At 45.3% G+C, this 23,953-nt stretch overlaps 2 protein-coding genes across 10 annotated transcripts in view; one reads left to right on the top strand and one right to left on the bottom strand.

Annotated features, from left to right (window-relative positions):
* MAP3K15 (mitogen-activated protein kinase kinase kinase 15) overlaps window positions 1–7,278 on the top strand; it is a 155,450-nt gene extending 148,172 nt beyond the window's left edge. For all 5 annotated transcript variants that reach the window (NM_001001671.4, XM_011545508.4, XM_011545507.4 and 2 more), the window contains 4 exons: window positions 4,487–4,599; window positions 5,744–5,844; window positions 5,922–5,998; window positions 6,504–7,278. In NM_001001671.4, the coding sequence (NP_001001671.3) occupies window positions 4,487–4,599; window positions 5,744–5,844; window positions 5,922–5,998; window positions 6,504–6,588 (376 nt within the window). In that variant the 3' untranslated portion in view covers window positions 6,589–7,278. The remainder of the gene's footprint in view (window positions 1–4,486; window positions 4,600–5,743; window positions 5,845–5,921; window positions 5,999–6,503) is intronic.
* Window positions 5,619–23,410, bottom strand: PDHA1 (pyruvate dehydrogenase E1 subunit alpha 1). Of its 5 annotated transcripts, NM_001173454.2 has the most exons (12): window positions 23,243–23,410; window positions 20,714–20,827; window positions 17,966–18,025; window positions 17,227–17,400; window positions 15,930–16,056; window positions 14,164–14,255; window positions 12,754–12,846; window positions 11,833–11,988; window positions 11,580–11,651; window positions 9,618–9,685; window positions 8,313–8,421; window positions 5,652–7,848 (listed from the first exon to the last, which is right to left on the bottom strand). In NM_001173454.2, exons 1-12 carry the CDS (start codon window positions 23,297–23,299, stop codon window positions 7,684–7,686), a joined length of 1,287 nt encoding a protein of 428 aa, NP_001166925.1. In that variant the 5' UTR covers window positions 23,300–23,410; the 3' UTR covers window positions 5,652–7,683. The 5 variants fall into 5 exon arrangements, with proteins under 5 accessions (XP_016885063.1, NP_000275.1, NP_001166925.1 ...); XM_017029574.3 differs by lacking the exon at window positions 12,754–12,846 and having other exon boundaries at window positions 5,619–7,848; NM_000284.4 differs by lacking the exon at window positions 20,714–20,827 and having other exon boundaries at window positions 5,619–7,848.

The following is a 23,953-nucleotide window of genomic DNA, read 5'->3' as shown; positions in this document are numbered from 1 at the left end:
AGCCTCCACCCTCTGGTAGGCCCCAGTGTGTGTTGTTCCCCTCTATGTGTCCATATGTTCTCATCATTTAGCTCCCACGGCACGTGGTATTTGGTTTTTTGTTCCTGCATTTGTTTGCTAAGGATAATGGCCTCCGGCTCCATTCATGTCCCTGCAAAGGACATGATCTCGTTCTTTTTTTATGGCTGCATAATATTCCATGGTGTATATGTACCACATTTTCTTTAGTCTATCATCAATGGACATTTAGGATGATTCCATGTCTTTGCTATTGTGAATAGTGCTGCAATGAACATATATGTGCATGTATCTTTATAATAGAACCATTTATATTCCTCTGGGCATATACCCAGTAATGAGGTTGCTGGGTCACCCAATAAGATTTATAATCACCAAATTCATAAAATGATTATATATGGGTTTGAAGGTTATTTCTCTCCACTGTCGATAGTCATTGTGTTATTTTCCAGTCTCAGTGGAATGAGGAATTGGTTAGGCAGCAGCCAGTCTGTGAATGGCATTGACGTAAACTGTACATTCCTGCATAAGGTGCTTGTCCTTGTGTGTATTAGTCCATTTTCACGCTGCTGATACATACCAGAAACTGGGCAATTTATAAGAGTAAGAGGTTTAATGGACTTACAGTTCCACGAGGCTGGGGAGGCCTCACAATCATGGCAGAAGGTAAAAGGCACGTCTTACATGGCAGCAGACAAGAAAGAATGAAAGAACCAGGCGGAAGGGGTTTTCCCTTATAAAGCCATCAGATCTCATGAGACTTATTCAGTACCATGAGAACAGTATGGGGGAAACCACCCCCATGATTCAATTATCTCCCACTGGGTCCCTCCCACAACACAAGGGAATTATGGGAGCTACAGTTCAAGATGAGATTTGGGTGGGGACACAGCCAAACCATATCACTGTAGTATGAAGTGCCTTGGCTATGTGGCAGTTGGGCAGAGCCAAAGGAAGATGACACCTCTTAGACAGGATGATGTGTCTGTCCTGATGAAGTCCTGAGAGTCCTTCCCACTGGATACAGGCACAAGCTTGAGTTGTCTCCTTCACTAACGTAAAAGGAGGACTACTAGAGAGACCAGGATGAAGGCAGGCAGTTGGGCAGGGCTGGGAGAGGACTTCTAATTTGCTGAGTGCCAATATTTCCTCTGCTGTTGTGCTGGGGCAGAAGTGTTCTCCTCTCCCCACCCCACTTTGCCACCAAATAATCCAGGAGTTCCTGTGTTCTCATCTCTCTACTGTTGCAGTGACTTCTCATGGCAACTTCAATAATTACCTTCAGTCTTTTTTTTTTTTTTTTTTTTTTTTTGAGATGGAGGCTCGCTCTATCATCCAGGCTGGAGTGCAGTGGCACATTCTTGGCTCACTGCAACCTTCACCTCCCGGGTTCAAGCGATTCTCCTGCCTCAGCCTCCCGAGTACCTGGGACCACAGGTGCACACCACCACACCCAGCTAATTTTTGTATTTTTAGTAGAGATGGGGTTTCACCATATTGGCCAGGCCGGTCTCAAACTCCTGACCTCAGGTGATCCACCTGCCTTGGCCTCCCAAAGTTCTGGGATGACAGGTGTGAGCCACCACCCCCAGCAGCCTTCAGTAATTTCAATAAAGCTTAGTTCTGTATTCCCAAGTTCACCAGCATGGATCATATAAATGAATTAAAGGAACACACAGTTAAGAAACAAATCCCATGTACTAGGTATGTAAGCAAACAATAAAAGTGTGGGGGCCAAGGCCCTTGGCCCCTGGAGGTTTGCTGAAAATCACCTGCATGAGGCTGATTAATGAGAGAAAAGGCATGCAAATGTATTTAACATGTATTTAACTTCAGCATGAAGACCCAAAGATCCAGGGGAAATTGTCCATTTTTATGCTTAGGCTTAACAAAGTATGGAGAGCTGTGGAGAAACAGGGATAAAAAGGGCCTGATCGAATGCTGATAGACTGAGTGGGGAAACCCAGCAAGGCCTGTCTGTCTAGATCCTTCTTGGCCTCTCTGAGTAGCATTCCTTTCTCCTGGGTGTGGGGCAGGACCCTCTGGAATCGGGGGTCTTATGAACTACAGTCAAACAAAGTAGGTCGAAGAACTTTTTTTTTTTTTTTTTGAGATGGAGTTTGACTCTGTTGCCCAGGCTAGAGTGCAGTGGTGCAATCTCTGCTCACTGCAACCTCTGCCTCCTGGGTTCGAACTATTCTTCTGCCTCAGTCTCCCCTCCCGAGTAGCTGGGATTACAGGCGCACGCCACCACAACTGGCTGATTTTTGTATTTTTAGTAGAGACGGGGTTTCACCATATTGGCCAGGCTGGTCTTGAACTCCTGACCTCAGGTGATCCTCCCGCCTTGACCTCCCAAAGTGCTGGGATTATAGGCTTGAGCCACTGCGCCCAGCCCAAAGAATTTTTTTTTTTTTTTTTTTTTGAGACAGAGTTTCGCTCTTGTTGCCCAGGCTGGAGTACAATGGTGCCATCTTGGCTCACCGCAACCTCTGCCTCCCAGGTTAAAGCGATTCTCCTGCCTCAGCCTCCCAAGTAACTCGGATTACAGGCATGTGCCACCACGCCTGGCTAATTTTGTATTTTTAGTAGAGAGGCTTCTCCATGTTAGGCTGGTCTCAAACTTCTGACCTCAGGTGATCTGCCTACCTCAGCCTCCCAAAGTGCTGGGATTACAGGCTTGAGCTGCCGCACCCGGCCAAGAATTTCTTTATAACCAATTTTTACACAGAAAGGCGGAGGGAAAGTTAGAGTCGTATTTTTAGGTTTTGTGGCTGGCTTTGGGGAGGAGTTCTGGTTTCTGTGCCCCGCTTTGGGGAAGAGGGATTCTATGGTGCCTCCAGGAGAATGGACTGAGAGAGGGAGGCAGGAGAAGGTCAGAGGAAAACTTTTTCTTCTGAGGCTGCTGCTGAGGCCATTTGGGGGCACTGTTTTCTGAGCCCCAACAAAAGCTAGACGTGGTTCCAATCTGTCAGCCCTTTCCCCCAAGGCATGCTATGCCTGAGCTGGCATGTGGGGGAAGTTTGAGGCACAGTTGTGCCAAGTCATATCTGATCCCAGAGAGCCCATGAGCAAGACTGGGTTTCAGGAGGCGGTCCCTTGGGAAGAGCCCAGCCTGTGGACTCTGGGCGTTACTTAACTCCTCTGCCTCAGTTACCTCAGCTTCAAAACAGGGGTTTAGAACAACCAGTGCTTCCTAGAAGTGCCGCAGGGCTTCAGTGACTGAATTCATGCAGTGTTTGGCACAGTCCTGGATTCTGGGTAGGAAGTGCTTGGTGGATGTTGGCAGGAGCCATCCTCCCCACCGGCAGAGCAGCATGTCTCACTCACTGTCCCTGCTCTGCCCCATTACAAGCAGGGGCTTCCAGCTGGGTGCGGTGGCTCACACCTGTAATCCCAGCACTTTGGGAGGCCGAGGCAGGTGGATCACTTGAGGTCAGGAGTTCGAGACCAGCCTGGCCAATATGGTGTAACCCTGTCTCTACTAAAAATACAAAAATTACCCATGCATGGTGGCGCATGCCTGTAGTCCCAGATACTCGGGAGGCTGAGGCAGGAGAATTGCCTGAACCCAGGAGGCGGAGGTTGCAGTGAGCCGAGATTGTGCCACTGCACTCCAGCCTGGGCCACAGAGTGAGACTCTGTCTCCAAAAAAAAAAAAACAAAAACAAAATAAGAAGCAGGGGCTTCTGTCCCCTTCGTTTAGTCCCTGTGTGAGGAGGAAAGAAACTTACCATTCTATTCTAGTTTCAGCTGCCTTATCTGACTTAGGGAGCCAGGTTTAAATAATCACATCGTCCTTCTGGCTGAGTTCTGATTAACATCGGCATCTTTTGGTTCACGATACGTTTTTGAGACAAAACTGCCTGAGTGCGTTCAGGCTACTGTAACAAAATAACCAGAGACCAGGCAGCTTATAAACAACAGAAATGTGTTTCTCACAGTTCTGGAGACTCGAAGTCCAAGATCGAGGTGCCAGCAGATTCCGTGGCCAGTGAGGGCCTGCTTCCCCATTCACAGATGGCCATCTTCTCGCGGTGTGTCCTCACATGGTGGAAGGGATGAGGGAGCCTCTGGGGTCTCCTTTCACAAGGACACTCCTCTCACCTCACCTCTCAAAGCTCCGTCTCCTAACACCATCACCTTGTGGGTTAGGATTTCAACATATGAACTTGGGCCGGGTGAGGGGCACACATTGAGTCCATTGCAAAAATATATCCAAGCTGTGAGCACTGGCCTTTGTTGTCAAGGGGAGGAAAACACAAGGAAGGTTCCCCTCTGCAGACTGAAGTCTGAGTCACAGAACCTGAAGAAACACATGTGCTTCCCTCTCTAGGCTGACTCTTAGACTTGTCCCATTTTCCATTTTTTTTCCATCTCTAATGTATGCACAACAGATGCTTGAGTTAAATTGAATGGTGTTGAATGCTCTCTGGATAATGGCTTTTTTTTTTTTTTTTTAAACCAGACTTTTGGAACACCTAGTTGAAAAAGAGAGAGAGTACCAGAATCTTCTGCGGCAAACTCTAGAACAGAAAACTCAAGAATTGTATCACCTTCAGTTAAAATTAAAATCGAATTGTAAGTCATTTTCCAATGAGACAGACTTTAACATCTAGCTAATATTCTAGTTAGCTTTGAAGAAACATTTGAGGTTATCTTCTGTTAATCCAGGACTCCAGTAGATTCTAGACTACTTCTCAATCATAAAAAGGGACTACTGATAGATTCAACAACATGGCTGCATTGTAAATGCAGTATGCTAAGTGAAAGAGCTAGATTCACAGCCAGCACCGTAGCTCGTGCCTGTAATCCCAGCACTCTGGGAGGCTGAGGCTAGCAGATCAATTGAACCCAGGAGTTCAGGACCAGCCTGGTCAACATGGCAAAACCCCATCCGTACAAAAAATAGAAAAAAACCAGCTGGGCTTGGTGGATGCATGCCTGTAGTCCTAGCTACTTAGGAGGCTGACATGGGAGGATCACCTGAGCCCAGGAGGTTGAGGCTGCAGTGAGCCGAGGTCATGCCACTGCACTCTGGCCTGAGTGACAGTGAAACCCTGTCTCAAAAAAAAAAAAAAAAAAAAAGATTCAAAAGGCCACATACCATGATTCCTTTTCCTCCAGAAAAGGCAAAACTACAGGGACAGAATCAGAATGGGGAGGTGACGGGACTGATTGTAAAGGGCACATGAGGACTTTTGGGAGTGACAGTCATTTCTGTATCTGTGCTGCCACCTTCATAGCACATTGGACACCTAAAAAGGGTAGTTTACTGCATAAGTAAATAAATATGCCTCCATCAACCTGACATTCGTTTTGGGCCACTTAGAAACGAGCTCCAGAGCTACCTCTTGGAATGTGGACTAGATAAGCTCTGACCTCAACACTAAAACCTATTTCCTTGTAGGATTTCCAGTGCAGTTAGGGATGTGATTCCTAAGGAAAGGCATTTGAAAGATGTGGGGATAAGCATTTAAAGTGGTAGACCTAACATGTCAAATTCCAAACTAACTGAAGGTATCCTAGATGAGGAGGCTTTCTAGAAAGTGAATCTCAGAATTATGAATTGTGTAATACGTATTAGCGTGGTTCAGTGATACAGGGTTAATTCATCTCTTTTTCACATCACATTTACATTCTGGAATCATTTATTAATCCAACTGGTTACTTTTGAAGAGTTTTATGGTTAGACTAATATATAACAAATTGCCAATCGTTACAGGTATTACAGAGAACCCAGCAGGCCCCTACGGGCAGAGAACAGATAAAGAGCTTATAGACTGGTTGCGGCTGCAAGGAGCTGATGCAAAGACAATTGAAAAGGTAAATTTACAACAAAGAAATTCTTATGCTGTTGTTACACAGCTGCTCAGCTCTTAAGGATCTGATCTTTGTTTCAGATTGTTGAAGAGGGTTATACACTTTCGGATATTCTTAATGAGATCACTAAGGAAGATCTAAGATACCTTCGACTACGGTAAGAGCCTCAAAACAGTTTGTATAAGAGAATACAACTTTTTATGTGTGAATATGCTTCAAGAGCAGAAAACAAAGGGCTGGGCCTCCCCCCAAACTCTGGAGTTCTATTAGGTTCAAGCTGGGAAAAAGCCAAGGTGGGGCAGAAACTGAAAGCCAGGCAGAAGTCAGAAATAGGAATGTGACAGAGAAGAGCTGGCCAATCTCCTGCCATTAATGCCTGGCTGGGAGTGGGTGGAGGCACATGGCAAGCGTGCCTGCACGCTGGACCCACCCCCTTCTTTAAACTGCAGCCTGCCTTCTTGTTCCCGAGTCATTTGAAATAGCCAGCTCTCTGCAGGTACGTACCTCTAAGGCCATGTCCTACTACTGCTGGGACACGAGCGTCACCTCCATATGTGAGGAGAATGTTTTTATTTTCATTAGGTTTTTAAATTAGGGACTGCAGTTTTAAGCTCTGTTGGCTTGAAGCACTGACTCTGAAGACAGCTGTGTTTGTTTCCCAGGGGTGGTCTCCTCTGCAGACTCTGGAGTGCGGTCTCCCAGTACAGAAGGGCTCAGGAGGCCTCAGAAACCAAAGACAAGGCTTGATACCAATCAGCTAAGCTGTGGCAGAGTGTCCCACCACGCTACATGTTTTGTTAAAGCTTCTGTTAGTGTATACACGAATTCCGCTGTGTTTACATATTTAAAAATGCCATTGTTCAATTAATAGTTTAAGAACTTGTTTTAAATACTGTCCTGAGTTTCTTTTGAAACCTGTTATTTATAAACATAGAACTGTGTGTATTGTGAAAACAGTGAGCCTTGGTTTTGACCTCCCGGAATATTAGGAAATTCACTTGTAGTCCCAGCTATGCAGGAGGCTGAGGTGGGAGGATTGCTTGAGCCCAGGAGGTGTGGAGGCTGCAGTGAGCCATGATCACACCACTGCACTCCAGCCTGGGCAACAGAGCCCGACCCTGTCTCAAAAAAAGTACACCCTTCAGCACTTGCTGGAATGGTGAAACAAACAAGGGGTATTTAACAAACATGGAAGCTGGGACACTGCCTCAGAACTGGTATGGTACTTCAATTTGAGAAACACAAAACTGATACGAATGTGCCTTGTAGTTAATGTTTGATATGAACAGAAAATAGCTTCATATTTATACTGAATGTGTAAGTAGAGAAAACTAAGTTATGTGGCCTTTGAAATGATTACAAAATTGGAATGATTACAAAAGTCTTATTTTAAAATGGAACTGTCCTCTTGCCTGATAATAAATATTGTATCTTGTAGAGAAATGGTCAGCGCGAACAGGCTGCAGCACCAGCGCTGCTCGGGGTGGGTGCTATGGTTGGTAGAATGCTGTGAGGGGCCCCGCCATAATGGTCTCCTCCCAAAAAGGTGGCTGGGGGCAGGGGAAACAGGCATACAAGGAATTGTTCTTCCTTTTCATAATTAGAGTATTTGTTCAAAGTATACTATTTTAAGTCAAAAATAATCTTTAAGCACTCAATAATTCATCTTTTAATGCACTAATGTACAAACTGCATGCAATTACTACCTGCTCAATCTACACACTTAATGGAAGTTTCCAAGAATTTCATTGAATTTCATTGACTGGGTTTTCTTCCTCCTTAACCAAGTTGAGAACACTGTCTGGTAGCCCCCTGAAGGTATAACCTCTCCTTCTCCTCCCCTTAACTGACTGACTTAAACTTGATCCACTGATTGGCACCACGAACTTCAAAAGGTGGGTCGCTGGAGTAGATGTGGTAGCCCAGCTCTTCCAAAGGTGGCTCAGGATCGGCCGTGGCAAACTGGGCAGCATCCTCAATCTCCTTCCTCACTTCCACATCAATTTCCTAAAAATTAGGTAACAGTGTAAAAGGTTTTAGAATGAACAGCAGCTTAGGTACCAACTAGAGTTCTGCTGAGGACCTGTTGCTGGTGTAACTCTTTAACTACAAGTACGAACAGTTGCTAATTCAGAAGATTTTGGAATACAGATTTCTAGGGTGTATCTATTTTATGAATTAAAAATCCACAGTATACTTTTAGGAAAAAAGAACCATACTACTGTGGGGGCTTTGCCACTGTGATGGTGGTTCACAGTCCACCAAAATCTGAAATCTGAAGAGTAATACAATTTTGAATAGAGGAAACTAAAGGAAAAGCCCCCACCCCAAGGGACTTTGGAACTATGGAACTATTTATGTCCCAGGACATCACTTTCTGGGCTTGGAGGAACCCACACAAACTCTGTGGCCACCCAGGGGTGGCAACTTTTAAAGCCAACCTTCAAACCACCATGAACAAGTGACTGTACCTTTAGTTCTTCCACACTGGCAAGATTGCTGTTCACCATCCTGTCCTTGAGAAGCATAATAGGGTCACTCTTACTTCTTACTTCCTGAATTTCTTCTCGTGTACGGTAACTATGGGGAGGGAAAAGTAGTAATCGATCAGTAAGAGCAGTTCCAGTAGAGCAAGGACGGCGTGATGAAACATGATATGGGGTTGGATTGTCCCAATGAGGTGAAATACAGAAGTGTGTTTCTGAAACAAAGGGGCATACCAATGCTTATGTCACTATAGGCGTGGCAGAGTTGTTGTTATACTTTCAAAATACCAGAACGCAGCCTAACATTCTGTAATAACTGCTTCTGTCTTTTCTAGAAAACCGTACACTGGTGAGTCACATGGCTTCCCTGGCATTCCGACAACAGGGGCCAAGTTTTTGCTTGCTGCTTTGATTTAGATGTAAGGTTCTAAAGAAGTGTCACTTGTCCCACCCATTTGGGCTCCTGTATACTACATGGGTGGGGACAGCAGAGATGGTGTGTGTGGTGATAATTAGACTTTGAGACATCAGAGCGCCAAGCAGGAAATCCATGTGCCTTGCCTTTCTCCCTTAAGTCCCCCTAAAGAAGCACAGCCAGCAAAACCAATGTATCTTATGCCTATATCATCTGAAGTAACACTAAAAGGATTCTACCATTTTCAACAATAGATTTACACAAAGTGCATTTTTCCATATACTGTGCTCTCTACATGATTTTTCCTTAGAAGTCCACTCTACAAAGGCTTATTTATTCAACTGTGTCAAAACTGGGATTCCAGAATCACAGGCCAGAGCTACTAAGCAAAAAAGTAAAATTCATGCCTTCCTAGTGGAACCTAGCTTTTTTGATTGATGTATTTCAACGGATTGAACACCCAGTTACCCTTAGCTCTATACCAGACAGAGGAACATCTCCAAATTCTGATCCTCTTCAGGTAGAGTATGCCAGGTGTAGACTTGGGGTAATGCCTACAAAAGCTAAATGCCCCCAAGATACTACACTACCATCAGCCCTGTTTTATGTAACAATTTCCCTCTACAATTAAGGTATATAACACTCTTTCTTTAAAAATTGCTGCTTGTGCTCACACACACTATACACTGTAGGCATTTTCAGAAAGCTTTCTTATTAGGAGGCACTGCTTTCAGATAACTTGATGCCCAACACAACTGCGTACATGAAGTGAACTGGTATCTAGCTCCAAAAGCAAATACTGAAATGTGTTGCTTTTGCCATGTAACACCATTCAAAGCCCACCCCTATGGAAACCACACTGCCCATGAGCGTACCTGACTCCAGGGTCACTCATACTGTGTCCGTGGTAACGGTAAGTCTGCAGCTCCATCAGGATGGGCCCCTAAAACAGAACCGGTAGGCAGTTAGTTAGTTAGGAACGATGACTGGAAGAACAGGCCGGCAATCCACGGCCTCAAACGCAGGCCCTTTATTAAGCGTCCAGTGTAGTCTTATCAGATCTTCTGAGTTGTCACGAATTTCTTATTGGTTGACTGATCTGTTCTCATTTCTAGCAAGTATTGATTGCATATTTCATCTTTCTCATTTTTAATAAGGCAATCTGCCAACAGCTTGTTTTGAATCAAAAAGGCTTTGAAGGCCAGGCATGGTGGCTCATGCCTGTAATCCCAGCACTTTGGGAAGCTGAGGTGGGCAGAGCACTTGCGCCCAGGAGTTCGAGACTAGCCTGGACAACATGGCAAAACCCCATCTCTATCAAAAAATACAAAAATTAGCCAGGCATGGTGGCGTGCGCCTGTAGTCCCAGCTACTTGGGAGGATCACCTGATTCTGGAAGGTCAAGGGTGCAGTGAGCTGTGAGTGTGCCACTGCGCGAGACCCTGTGAAAAAAGAAAAAGGCTCTGAGCATGTTCTAGAGCCTCCTGCTATTGGCTAGACAGATTTCCATCTCATGCTCCTTTCTCATGGTGTGTTGTGGGGCTGGCAGCCACTCCTACTTCACAGACCTTGCTAGTGTGTAACAAAGTTGGCAGGCACCAACAACCTCTGCTACCCAAACCCCAAGGCTCTGCTGGGAGTCTGGACAGTTGGGCTCGCTCATTCTACACTAGCCCACTTCCAGGAGACGGCTCTGAACACTGGGGTGGAGAAACATTGAGGATCCTTGGTTGGTTTGGTGCAGCAGTTAAAATGGGCGAGTGGGGAGCTGGCTCCAAGACAGAGTAGCTGTGTACCTTTAACTGCTCTATGGCTCAGTTTCCTTGTCTGCAAAATGGGCAAAACAATAACACCTAACTCAGAATTGTGAAGGTTATCTGTTTGGGAAAGTCACACATTCTACAACTACATTCTACAACTCCCCTTGTCTCCAGCCAGGGCTGGCCCCCATGTATTCTTTTCAGGAATTGGGAGAGGTGGCGTCAATACCCATCACTCAGGGCCTGGCACTCCCAGCCTTAGGGTCCTGACATAGACTGCTCAGCCCATTGTACCCAAGCTGTAGTCTTGGTCCTGCTCTAGTTCATTCTACTCATTAGCTCTTATTTAATGTTACTACATTCCCACCCTCACTTCCCTGTCTCTCCACTTTGTGACATTTCCATCATTGCTGGCCACATCTGATTCACATCACTGCCTAAACGTACATGGTATGGCGCTGAAGTGCCAACTTCAGAAACCTTGTTTCTGGGCTGTAGAACACTGATTTAGGGAGAACACCCAAACCTCCTAAGCCTATACTAGTGCCAAAGGAAGTGAAACCTCTTTAGGCCAGTCTCCCTCTTACCATCTCCCTCACTGCCATACACTGAAAAGGGAAAGATCCTTAGGACTGAGCAAGACTAAGATTACGAGCTTCTACCATACTGTTTAATTTGTATAAGACACACATATTAAATGCCTATTGTATACATGACATTCTATGCTGGACACTGTGGGGATCCCCAATCTGTTCCTTCAAGGGACTCATGATTAATGGGGGGTGGGGAGGAGGGACAGAATTAACCTAAGGAAAAGGCAAATCAGTTGTCATGAAGACAGGCCAAAGCAGAGGAAGCACCAGAACGGACTTCCCCCAAATGAGAGAAACGTAGGCTTCCCAGCAGGTGAGCTACCAAGACCAAGCTACCCAAAGGAGCCCTGCTCCCTTCACTCTGCTTCCATCTCATGCACCTCAATTAGCAGGTACCCACTAACAGCTTCAGCAGGCACATGGGAGGCAGTCTTTGAACTTCCAGAGATAAATGTCACTAGCCCAGAGGGCTTTAGAGCCTTACCTTCCCAGATCTACAATAGGCAGCAGCAAACCTTGTTGCCTCTCGGACGCACAGGATATCCATTCCATCCACCTGGTAATAAACAGGGGAGGGGCGAAGCATGAATCCAACTGCCCCAAACCATTTTACTTTCACATGACCTGCTCCTGTATGAGAATGAAACTCTCCAATGTTTCTAAGATCGTCAAGGGTCTGCACAAGGACATACCCTTGGCCTTGGCCTTGGCCCCGGCCCCACCACAGGTGTCCTTACTCTCAGCCCAGGAATGAAATCGCCTCTCTTGTAGTAATCAGTGCTGGCTGCCGCTCTCTCAACAGACGTTCCCATTCCATAGCGATTATTCTCACAGATGAAAATACAAGGTAATTTCCACAAAGCTGCCATGTTGTAAGCTTCGAATATCTGGCCCTGGAAGTAGTTACGAAAAGGGGTTTCATTTGGCTTCTTTCTCCAGGCTTCATCATCTCTAACAGCTGCTGCTCTGCCTGGCACAGAAAGCTTTCATAAAGCACAGAAAGCCTCCTCTTCTAAAACCGAGCTTTGGGTGGTGAGGGAAAGCGGGGTGGGTGGTGGAGGAGAAGTAGCAGGCATCATACTCTTGCAACTAAGGAAGGTGACAAACCAACTACTACTTGTTTCTTTGGGGCCATGCTAGCAGTAAGGAACACACTGGAAAAAAGATCAATATGAAATCTATCAGGCCCACTGGATAGCCAGAGTGAACCAGCACCTAAGAATCAGCCTCTAGAACAGGGCTTCACAGAGTGCTGGCCACAGACTGGGGATTACTCGGTAACAAGAGAAGCATAGAAACTGAGTTAGGACTCAGACGCTATTATCCGAATTTGACACTGCCAGCCCGGACATCCAAGAGAATGGGTCTGTATTGTTTTGCAATAGGTTGTGGGGAGGTCCTTTACCACAGGGCCTTTGCCAAGCACTGATGTAGAGCAAAGGTGAGCTCCTTCACAGGAATGTGCCCCCGTAAGTCTCTTGTGAAACAACGCTAAGAGGTCAATCTCTAATCTGGCCATAAGTCAACCAAATTTGAGCTAGCCATAGGACTTGCTATTTCACCTAATAAGCAATATGCTACTTCTTTAGAAATTCAACTGTAAATATTAAAGACTTTGAAAATAAGACTGTTTTTGGGAAGTTAAGAGACATAATTACCTGGTTAGCAGCACCATCGCCATATAAAGTCAGGCAGACCTCATCTTTTCCATTATACTTACAGGCTAGAGCAATCCCAGCGCCCAGGGGCACCTAACATTAAGGACAACCGAGAAAGGAACCACAGAAATCCATGAGGGGAGATACTAATTAATGCCCTGCATTTTCACTCCTGGCCAGAATCTGACACAGAAATTACACTGCTGCTACAAACTCTCCTTCCAACCCTATCTCTCTGTTTATCCCACCTCCGATATTTTCAATAAAGCACTAAAGTAATATATAAATACTATGTTCTATTTTAACCAGTAAGCACTAACATTTCTGCATTCAAGAGTTAAAAAATAAAACCTGGCCGGGCGTGGTGGCTCACGCCTGTAATCCCAGCACTTTGGGCAGATCACGAGGTCCACAGATCGAGACCATCCTGGACAAGATGGTGAAACCCCGTCTCTACTAAAAATACAAAAAATGGTTGGGCATGGTGGCACGTAACTATATTCCCAGCTACTCGGGAGGCTGAGGCAGGAGAATTGCTTGAACCCGGGGGTGGAGGTTGCAGTGAGCTGAGATTACACCACTGCTCCAGCCTGGGCGGCTGAGCAAGACTCCATTTCAAAAGGAAAAATAAAACCTAGGTTTAAAAAAAAACAACACATAATAGAATCTTAATATATTAGAAAGGAAAAGAAACAGTCCGGATATAATTTTGTGCTGTTAATTCTTCATCATTCACTAACTGATGAGAACAAGGACCCCAAAATGAAGTTGACAAGATAAAGCAATTAATGTACTGAAATATAAATAGGAAGGGGAAGGTATGGCTCCACTGCTAGAGGTTCCTGCTTACTTATAAAACAGCAGACACCTAAAAGGAAACATTATAAATCACCATCCAAATCTACTCATCTCTCAAACGGTAGGATATGAAGCACTAGGTCTTTAAAAGCAAACCAAGCCCCCAAAATAGTCACGCGTCACTTAACAACAGGGATATATTCTCAGAATTGCATCACTAGGCGATTTTGTCATGTGAACACCATACTGTAATGCACGAACCTAGATGGTACAGCCCACTGCACACCTAGGCTGTATAGTAGAGCCTACTGCTCCTAGGCTACAACCCTGCACAGCATGTGACTCTACTGAATCCTGTAGGCAAAATATTTGTGTACCTAAACGTAGAAAAGGTAATGTGTTGTGCCACTACAACATCACTAGGCGACAGGAATTTTTCAGCTCCATTATAATCTTATGGGTCCAACATCATATATGCGACATTGACCAAAGCGTCACTGTGCAGCACATGGCTGTACTACTTCAGGAAAAGTTGTCTGGGGCTGTGAAAGTTTTTGAAGACAAAGTCCAGGGCCAAATCTAAAGCAGCACACAATCCTCGTCCTTGACTACCTGCGCTCCCACGATGCCATTGCCCCCGTAGAAGTTCTTGGCATACATGTGCATCGATCCTCCTTTCCCTTTAGCACAACCTCCTTTTCGTCCTGGAAATGGCAGAACATACACATGTGCAGAACAAACCAACTCTACAAAGCAAACCAAACCGCACCCCAAATATGTACTCTGAGGCTCAACCATTAGAACACAGAGGCCAGTTCAGTCGTCTAAGTACCTGTCCCTCCAGGCAAACACATGTTTCTCCTTGTCCTTTCACTAGTTCCATGTGCTTCAACCTTTCCAGCTTTTCCTACTCTCTAGTCACTTAGTTTCCTTCAGATGTTCCATCCAGATGATACCCTGGACTTTTCTGGGTTTTCTGGCCAGTTACAAACATCTTAGGACCTCTCCTATACTAGTACACTAAATATATTCAATCCTTGAACAGGGTTTGAACTGCACAGGTACACTTATACACAGATTTTTTTTCAGCCACACATGTATTGAAAATAGAATATTCTCAGGATGCAAACCCGAAGATATGGAAGGCTGACTTTGGGACTTGAGTATTTGAGGATTTTTGTATACTCGAGGGTCCTAGAACCAATCCCCTGGATATATAGAGGGACAACCATAGTTCAAGAGTCAAGGAGGGCCGGGCACGGCGGCTCACGCCTGTAATCCTAACATTTTGGGAGGCCGAAGAGGGTGGATCACCTGAGGTCAAGAGTTCAAGACCAGCCTGGCCAACATGGTGAAACCTGGTCTCTACTAAAAATACAGAAATTAGCCAGGTGTGGTGGTTGGGCACCTATAATCCTAGCTACTCAGGAGGCTGAGGCAGGAGAATTGCTTGAACCCGGGGGGCGGAGGCTGCAGTGAGCCAAAATCATACCACTTCACTCCAGCCACTCCAGCCTGGGTGAAAGAGTGAAACTCTGTCTCAAAAAAAAAAAAAAAAAAGGAGGAGGAGGAGGACCGGGCACAGTGGCTCACGCCTGTAATCCTAGCATTTTGGGAGGCTGAGGCAGGCCACTGCACTCCAGCCTGGGCAACAAAGCGAGACTCTGTCTCAAAAAAACAAAACAGGCCAGGTGCGGTGGCTCACGCCTGTAACCCCAGCACACTTTGGGAGGCCAAGGCAGGTGGATCACCTGAGGTCAGGAGTTGGAGACCAGCCTGGCCAACATGTTGAAACCCCATCTCTACTAAAAATACAAAAATTAGCCAGGTGTGGTGGTGCATGCCTGTAGTCCCAGCTACTCAGGAGGTGGAGGCATGAGAATCACTTGAACCCGGGAGGTGGAGGTTGCAGTGAGCCGTGATCACACCACTGCACACCAGCCTGGACAACGGAGTGAGACACAGTCTCAAAAAAAAAAAAAAAAAAAAACCACCAAAACAAACAAATAGTCACGGGGGACAAAGAAAAGGGGAATATTAAGAAGATTTCTAGAATTTACATTGCATACCATGGAGTGCTTCAACCGAACTTACTTTCTATGACTGCTAGACTTCTTCTGGCATGCTTGAATGATAACCAAACCTACTGTGATTTTATAGCACCAACCTGTTTTAAACTTTTACCTGAGGGGCCAGAGAACTTCACAAATGGTCAGTTAACTCAAGAGCACAACAGAAGTACCAGAGCACCAAAGGAGAGAGGGTTAAAAAAAGAAACTTAAAATTTTTAACAAATATTAACTCATAATAGCATCTTAATGACAGATATTTAAAAACTTAATCCACTCATTTCCCCTTTCTGTAAATCAACAGCAAACCTGTAAGCTCTGCGAGAATTTCTCGGACGGAAAGGCCCCGGGTGAAAGTAAAGCCGTGAGCCCGGTAGGCTGTGATGAGATGGTCTGTGGGGTTGATGCCGGCCTCCAGGCCCACACAGCAAGCTTCCTGTGTTAGAGGAAGGAGAAACTATGAGGCAATATGATACATGTTTCTAAATAAAAACGTTTCCTAGACCACAGTGAAATATGTGGGCTAGTAGAACCTGTCATTAATAACCAGAGAAAGTAGCTATTTTCCACCAAAATACAGAGTGGAAGGCCCAAACCAGAAGCAATAAACTGGCAACCCACACATGTGCCACTTCCTTCCTTTCTCCTGTATGATGACCTAAAAGAAAAGCCTACATCAGATGTCAACATTAAAACACTGGGGAATTTCACATGAAAATCCAGACTTCCGCCTTCTCTTAGACATGGAAAACAGGAAACATTACCCCTGATTTCCACATGGCACCAACTGGCTGGAACCAAGTCATGGCATTCCTCTGGGTAGGGCATGCTGGTGCCAGTTCAGCATGAGTCCCTGTCACCATTTTCTGTTTTGTATACCTAGCCTTCTTCACTCATTTATTCTACCTGGCTGGCCCTTGTAGGTATTTGACTCTAACCCTTGACCTAAGCCCACAAAACAAAAAACAAACTAATCCTTTCTCTCCAAATTATATACAGTACAGGCGATCATAGTGCCAGAAAGTTTTAAAATAGTAAAACTCTAAGAACAGGTACAGAAAACTGGCAATGTTATGTGTGAATGAATTCTTTAGCCTAAGCTTCATAGCAGGTTTTGGCATTCTACTTTTTAATTCTAAAATACTGGCTTCAGCCAGGCACAGTGGCTCACGCCTGTAATCCTAGCACCTTGGGAGGCCAAGGTGGGCGGACCACTTGAGCCCAGAAGTTTGAGACTAGCCTGGGCAACATAGTGAAACCCCGTATCTCCAAAAAATACAAAAATTAGCTGGGTGTGTTGGTGTGCACCTGTGGTCCCACATACTCGGGAGGCTGAGGTGGGAGGATTGCTTGAGCCCAGTGGACAGAGGCTGCAGTGAGCCAAGATCACACTGTACTCTAACCAGAGGCTGCAGTGAGCCAAGATCACCACTGTACTCTAACCTGGGCGACAGAGAGAGACTGTCTCAAAAAAATAAATAAATAAAAGAAAATTACATTACCAGCCTCAAACTCTTCTGATACATATGGCAGGGTAAAGCCCAATAAGTACAAGCCATACTTCAGTACCTAAATAACACAGTTCCACCACAAACCTACCACTCACCTGACCATCACACAAGTGACAGAAACCACGAATAATTTTCTGTTTATACAGCTGATCTGCTTTCAACTCCATTCGGCGTACAGTCTGCATCATCCTGTAGTATTTGAGCCCATCCTCCCTGGTGAGCACTGTTGTGACAGGAGGGCCTTCTTCCAGCCGGTGAAGGTCACATTTCTGAAATGGAATAAGGTAGTTATTATCCTCCACATACTACATTGCAAACACTGTTGACCACTCTAAGATCTAACTCCATTGCAAATAATATTGAACTTGAAAAACTGCAAAGGAGCACATCAGTAATGCTTCATATCGCCTCTGTTCCTTAAATCCATAAACCTCACTGTGCAATGAGATGGGGCTTGGGGGAAGGAAATCTTTCTAAGATGATTTTCACTGAAAGCCCCTAGAAGCCAACTGAGTTATAGGTTGAAAGAACCTTCAAAGAAACAACTAAGACTCTTCTTATTCAAATATTTCACTGAATTACATTCCAAACTTTTGAATAAGCTTTTATTTTTATTTTCATTTTCTAGCTCCTCCCCCTTCCCCCCACAGAACAACAGCAAGCTGCTAATAATAAATTCTAGTTTTCGTGAAGCTTCTCTGAACTTCTGATCCTGGAACATTTAGAAGAAAATGATGACTAAGCATGAACATCAAAATGTTCTATTCTAAAGGTAAAACTGTATATCAGAGTGTACCTGTGAAAAAATTATTAACAAAGTAAAACACCTCTTACCTTAATTTCAAATGTAGCATCATTTGCAAAATTACGGGATGCTACCAGCACTCTGCTTGCCTTAAAAGACAAAAATATACAAACAAATCAGTACTTTTTAATTGTCAGCTATTTTGGAAAGTATAATAATCAGTTATCAGAATGAAGTTATGGAAATTTAATAAGCCCCAACATATTCATAGGCTTCTCTTCCACCCTGTGCACTGTGTTTGCATCTTCCTTGGCCTCCAAAATGAATCCATGCTTTGGCCAATGAAACAGGATTATCCCGCATCTGAAGGCAAGCAGCGCAAAGAGGGGCAAAAAACAAACCCATCCTTTGTTTTCAAAGAAATTATAGTGAGAATATAATGAAATTAGTGGCTAAAGAGACTAGATCATCTGTGAGCTGTGTCTGTTTATGCCATTCTTTTGTTTGTTTGTTTTGAGACGGAGTTTTGCTTTTATCACCCAGGCTGGAGTGCAGTGGTGCGATCTCGGCTCACTGCAACCTCCGCTTCCCGGGTTCAAGTGATTTCTCCTGTCTCAGTCTCCCGAGTAGCTGGGATTACAGGTGCCCACCACCACGCCCGGCTAATTTTTATATTTTTAGTAGAGATGGGGTTTCACCATGTTGGCCAGGCTGGTCTCCAACTCCTGACCTCAGGTGATCCACCTGCCTTGGCCTCCCAAAGTACTGGGATTGCAGGCATGAGCCACTGCGTCTGGCCTTTTCATGCCATTCTTAGTCATAACCAGATACTGTTCATTTTGAGCAAGCCAAAATTATACTTCAAATAAAACTATGATTTAATCTCCACTCTAGGCAAACTTGACTCTTCTATCAAATTGGATCTGTAAGAAAAAATATTTTAAATTGATTGAAGTATGAGATAAATACTTTAGGGAGACAAGACAAAAGAAAAGATACTTAGCACTCTCTGACTTAAACACAATGGGCTTGAGCCAGCTGTTTTATAATTTATAATTTGAACAGCCTAAATCTTGGACAGGCTCCTCCTGAAGCCCCAGTAGAAATGTTCTCTGAAACACTGTTCTCTTGATGTTTGGGTGGCTGTCACTGTTTGGAGGTAAAAAGCTTGGAGGCGGGGGGTGAGAAATGATTCCTTTCCAGTTTTACAACTGAGCAAACCTGCTCACAGCAAAAGTATTCTATGTAATGGCTAAGGTTTAGGTTAGACCACAAAATTTATCCAGTAGTATTATCATACTATTTTAGCTCCCTTCTGCCACATTCTCACACACTGACGTGTAAACCAACATGATTTCTCCATAAAAAGCACATCTGATGTGTTCATACCTTACCTAATCCAGCACTGGACTGATCTTGGTGAGAAGAGTTAAGACTGATCTGCCAAGTATACCCTGGAGTGTACAAGCCAATAGGCAGAAAGCTAATTACGTATATCTTCACCCCTCAATAGACCATTATTGGACAAAGCCAACAAACACAGACAATGACAGTGCTGGAGGAAAACAACTGAAATACTAGGAATCAGTGTTTCAGTTAACTTACAGGCAGAGACAGTCCACTAATGTATCTCAGAAAAAGTGAAGGAAATTTAGGAATTTGGGAAGAAGTAAAGCTGAGAGAAGGTGAAACAGCAAATCAATGGTTATATTTAGCAATCAAACAGATGTGTTATTCTTGGCAGTTAATAAATATTTTGTGGGGCCAGAAATTTATTGTATTGTGAAATAAATTTCCAAATACAACTACAGAAACTGCAGTTTTTGGAAGGCAGGAGTCCAAACCAGCCAGGCGACAGTAACAGAGAAAAGGTAACTTCTTTCTCAATCCTAGAGTTGAAACAATGAGGCAGGATAATGCTATACAATAAAGAGCAAGAAGGGGCCCAGTGCTGTGGCATGCGCCTGTAATCTTGCGCCTGCAAAGATTAGGACTGCCAGAAAGCTACTTAGATACTTTCTCCCATGGCTTCATTACTGTGTATCTCAAAAATAAGAACCACTGATATGAGTGAAAGGAACAAAGTTAAAGAAGCTAAAAGTCCTATCAGAAGTGTGTGTGTATCATTTCTGAGTGAGAGCTTGTTGAAAAGATAAGTTTACCATTCATTTTCTCTGGAGAGCCATAAAAAGATTCTCTGTTAAATGGGATTCCTCTCTGACAGAGACCACGAACAACCCACTCAAATTTTAAAAAATAAAAACTAGGCCGGGCATGATGGCTCACACCTATAATCCCCAGCACTTTGGGAGGCCAGGGTGGGAGGACCACTTGAAGCCAGGAGTTCAAAGCCAGCCTGGGCAACATGAGACTCTCATCTCTACAAAAATAAATATTAAAAAATTAGTCAGGTATGGTGGCACACACCTGAGGCTACAGTGAGCTATGACTGTGCCACTGCATTCCAGCCTAAAAAAAAAAATTAATTAAAAAAAAGTAAAACTTTAACTTCCTAAATACATAGGAACCATTCATGTGAAAGAGGAAAAACGTTTCAAAAATTCCAGATTCTAACAGTGTAAATTAAAACTCTTACCTACCACTTATAAAGCCAAAACATTGCTAGTAAAGATCTCACAAAAGGAGCCATACAGAAATGCAAACAATAAAATAACATTTTAAATGCATTCAATCTTCTTCCATGAAATAAGAACTATGAAAACTATAAACCTTATTCAAAAATAAAAACACAATCTTGATATTCATTTCAAAGTTTCACACCAAACACTCTTTGATGAGACAATGGCAATCTTTAAGCCTGAGATAAATCTCCCTACCTGCCTGGTTTTAAGAGAGTGAGAGTAATCCCAGCACTTTGGGAGGCCGAGGTGGGAGGACTGCTTGAGCCTGGAGATGGAGACCAGACTGGGCAACGTAGCAAGACCATGTCTCTAGTAAAAAAAAAATTTTTTTAATTGGCTGGGTGTGGTGGTGGCACATGCCTGTGTTCCCAGCTACTCAGGAGGCTAAGGCAGGAGGATCGCTTGAGCCCAGCAGGCTAAGGCTGCAGTGAGCTGTCCTGCTACTGCACTCCAGCCTGGGTGACACAGAGACCCTGTCTCAAACAAAACGAAAGTAAACCAGGGAGAATAAAAAAGGAAAAAACACACAGCGTCTTGGGAGGTTAAGGGGATTATCTTGTGTCACAGCCATCAGACCAGCTGCCTACCCTTCTCCCTCCCCTTCTCCCTCCCTTCATGGAGTATCACACAGATGGTAGGAGTCTAGTGCAGTAAGTCTGCCTAATTTGGGTGAGCCACTGCTTATTGTTTACTGTCAAGATTTTTGTGAAAGGCTTATATGCAAAATGTCTTTTTACATGTATAATATAAAAAACTAAAACGTTGATCTATTTTGTTACTTATAGTTAAGTAAAAAGACATCCATAAGTATGAAGAATTACAAAATACAAAGAGTCAACACGTTAGTTTATTATTCCACCCTTTAAAAAAATAAAAGTGAAACTTTTAGTTCTATCCTTAAAAGCTTCAGGAATGGTTCCTAATTAGTCCATGACAAGTTGAGTGACACAGAAAACTTCTAATTATCTGAAGAGTTTACACCACCAAGTGGAAAGATACCTGGGCACTTTCAAAGGTGACTTCATATCTGGAACTCAATTTTCTTCCTACTGTAAGGTGGCGGGGGGGGGGGGACCCTGCAAACTGATACAGGAAACAATGAACCTGACTTGCAGAAGAAGAAGAAAACCTACATCAGGTGCCTAAAGGAAGGATGTTTCTGAGCCCGTAACTACCGGTACAGCCCTCTACCCACAGATATCCCTAAAGGGAACGCTTTTTTTTTTTTTTTTTTTTTTTTTTTTTTAAAATACGGAGTCTTGCTCTTGTCGCCCAGGCCGTAGTGCAATGGCACGATCTCCGCTCACTGCAAACTCCGCCTCCCGGGTTCAGGCTATTCTCCCGCCTCAGCCTCCCGAGTAGCTGGGATTACAGGAGCCCGCCACCACGACCGGCTAATTTTGTATTTTTAGTAGAGACGGGGTTTCACCATGTTGGCCAGGCTGATCTCGAACTTCTGACCTCAGGTGATCCACCTGCCTCAGCCTCCCAAAATGCTGGGATTACAGGCCTGAGCCACCGCACCCGGCAGTTTTGTCATTATTTTAGGCAACAGGATTCCTAGAGGGGCATACCTCTTACCTTTTGACAATCTCTGCCTGTACTAAGTAGAGCGGTATCAAGTCCTGGGGGAAATACCAGAATCCCGAGGCCTGCAGTTACACCAATTAACACGACCTCACTGTGCCTAGGGGGGTCAGAATGCTAGCTCAGGTGTTAGGCACCTCTAAATGCTGAGGCCATGAAATAGTGCTAAACTCTACCCCCCACCCCTCAAGCATCGTTGCTCTTTGCTTTAGCTACTTGTACCCTAAGAATGTGTAGGTAAGGGGAGGGGAGGGCAGCGTCCTCTGAGTTCTGCTTCGGCGCTCCTGAACTCACTGCCAAGAAAAGCTCAGATGTTGAGGGAGAGGGAAGAGGAGGAAGTTTGTTTCTGAAGAGGCTGACCTTCTGTGAACCCGCCTCAGAACTGAGCACAGGTGTTCAAGAAATGTATACCGAACTGGAGACTCAATAAATAACACTATTCAACACACATGTTATCGATTATGTGCCAGGTGCTATTTGGAATCGTTTCCACACGTGTCACTCGTTGAATCCTCAAGACAACCCCAAGAGGTGGGGACTCTTATTATCTCCATTTTAGAGTTAACTGATAACATTTCAGAGATAACTCTTATCTCCATTTAGAGATTAACTCCACTTCGAGCAAACATTTTAGGAAACCGGGTCCCCGGGACGTTTAAAAACTTGCTCAAGGTCACAGGGCTAGTCAATGGTGAGGGTGCTGTTTGAACGAAGCCACCCTGTCTCCAGATTCTACGCTATTACAAAGCCTCTCGGTCAAGAGAAATTAAGTTAGAAGATCCGAAATGAGTGGGGTCAATTGGAGACTCGAAGGAGGCCGAGGCCACCCTTTCCGTGTCCTGTAACCCAACAGGCACCTCTTGAGCACACCGACTTCGCCTGGCGCACAGCTGGGCCCGGGGGCGGGAGGTGGGTGTCGAGAAGGGGGAAGTTCACACGGACCTTGGCGTGATCCCGGTCCGTGCCGCTTCTCCCGAGGCCAGGAACGGAATGCAGGGCGCGGAGGCGAAGTAAAGGCTCCCCGGCTCCCCTGGCGCCTTCCACCCCGCTCTGGGTGGCCCGGCCTGGCCCGCCCTGCCCTCCGGCCCCGCCTCAGCCCCACTCGCGCCCCATCCCGGCCCGCCCGGGAGGTCTCACCGGCTTCTGAGAAGCGCCAGACAGCACGCGGGAGACGGCGGCGAGCATCTTCCTCATGAAGCACAGGCAGTGGCGGCAGCGGCGACTCCTCACAACCCAGGAGGCACGACGCGGGTGCCCCCAAGTCTCCTTCAGGTGCCCCAGCAGACGCCACGCCTCAGTCGCACCGCGGCGTGACAGAGTCGTAATAACGTCATGCGCTGCGCCGGGCCGCGGGCCAACCAGAACGGCGTCCAGGGGGTGCCCCGCCCCCGCTAAAGGCCTGAGGCTGCCCATTGGGTATCAGCGCCAGAGAGGGAGGGGCTGAGGGCTCTTTCCGACGCCACGCCGCGGGCGGGTGAGGAGGCGGGGCTTGATAGCGCCTGCGTGGGAAGGTGGGGCCCCCGCCTCCAGGGCGCCGCGGGAAAGGAGCCTTCCTAGATTCCGCTCTGCTGACTACCGGGGAGGTTGTGCAGGCCCCGTCCTACCGAGCGCCTACTCCTGCCGGTGCTGCAGCTCTGCAGCCCTCGTTCAGTACATCTCGTTCAGTACACTAGATGATGAAGATTAGCAGCATGCTCAGAGCCAAAAGACAGAACATCTGGTTTCTGTAAATGGTCTGCCACTAACTTTGTCTTTAAAAGATCACGTAGCAGTTGGACAGTTCTGCCCTGTCTACTTGAACGCGGATCAAAAAATTTGTTTCCCAATATATGTCGAGAGGACAATGGG

The sequence above is a fragment of the Homo sapiens genome, chromosome X (assembly GCF_000001405.40).
Source record: "Homo sapiens chromosome X, GRCh38.p14 Primary Assembly".
Taxonomy (NCBI): domain Eukaryota; kingdom Metazoa; phylum Chordata; class Mammalia; order Primates; family Hominidae; genus Homo; species Homo sapiens.
The sequence above is the reverse complement of the archived record's forward strand: the minus strand, read 5'-3'. Positions and strand labels throughout refer to the sequence as shown.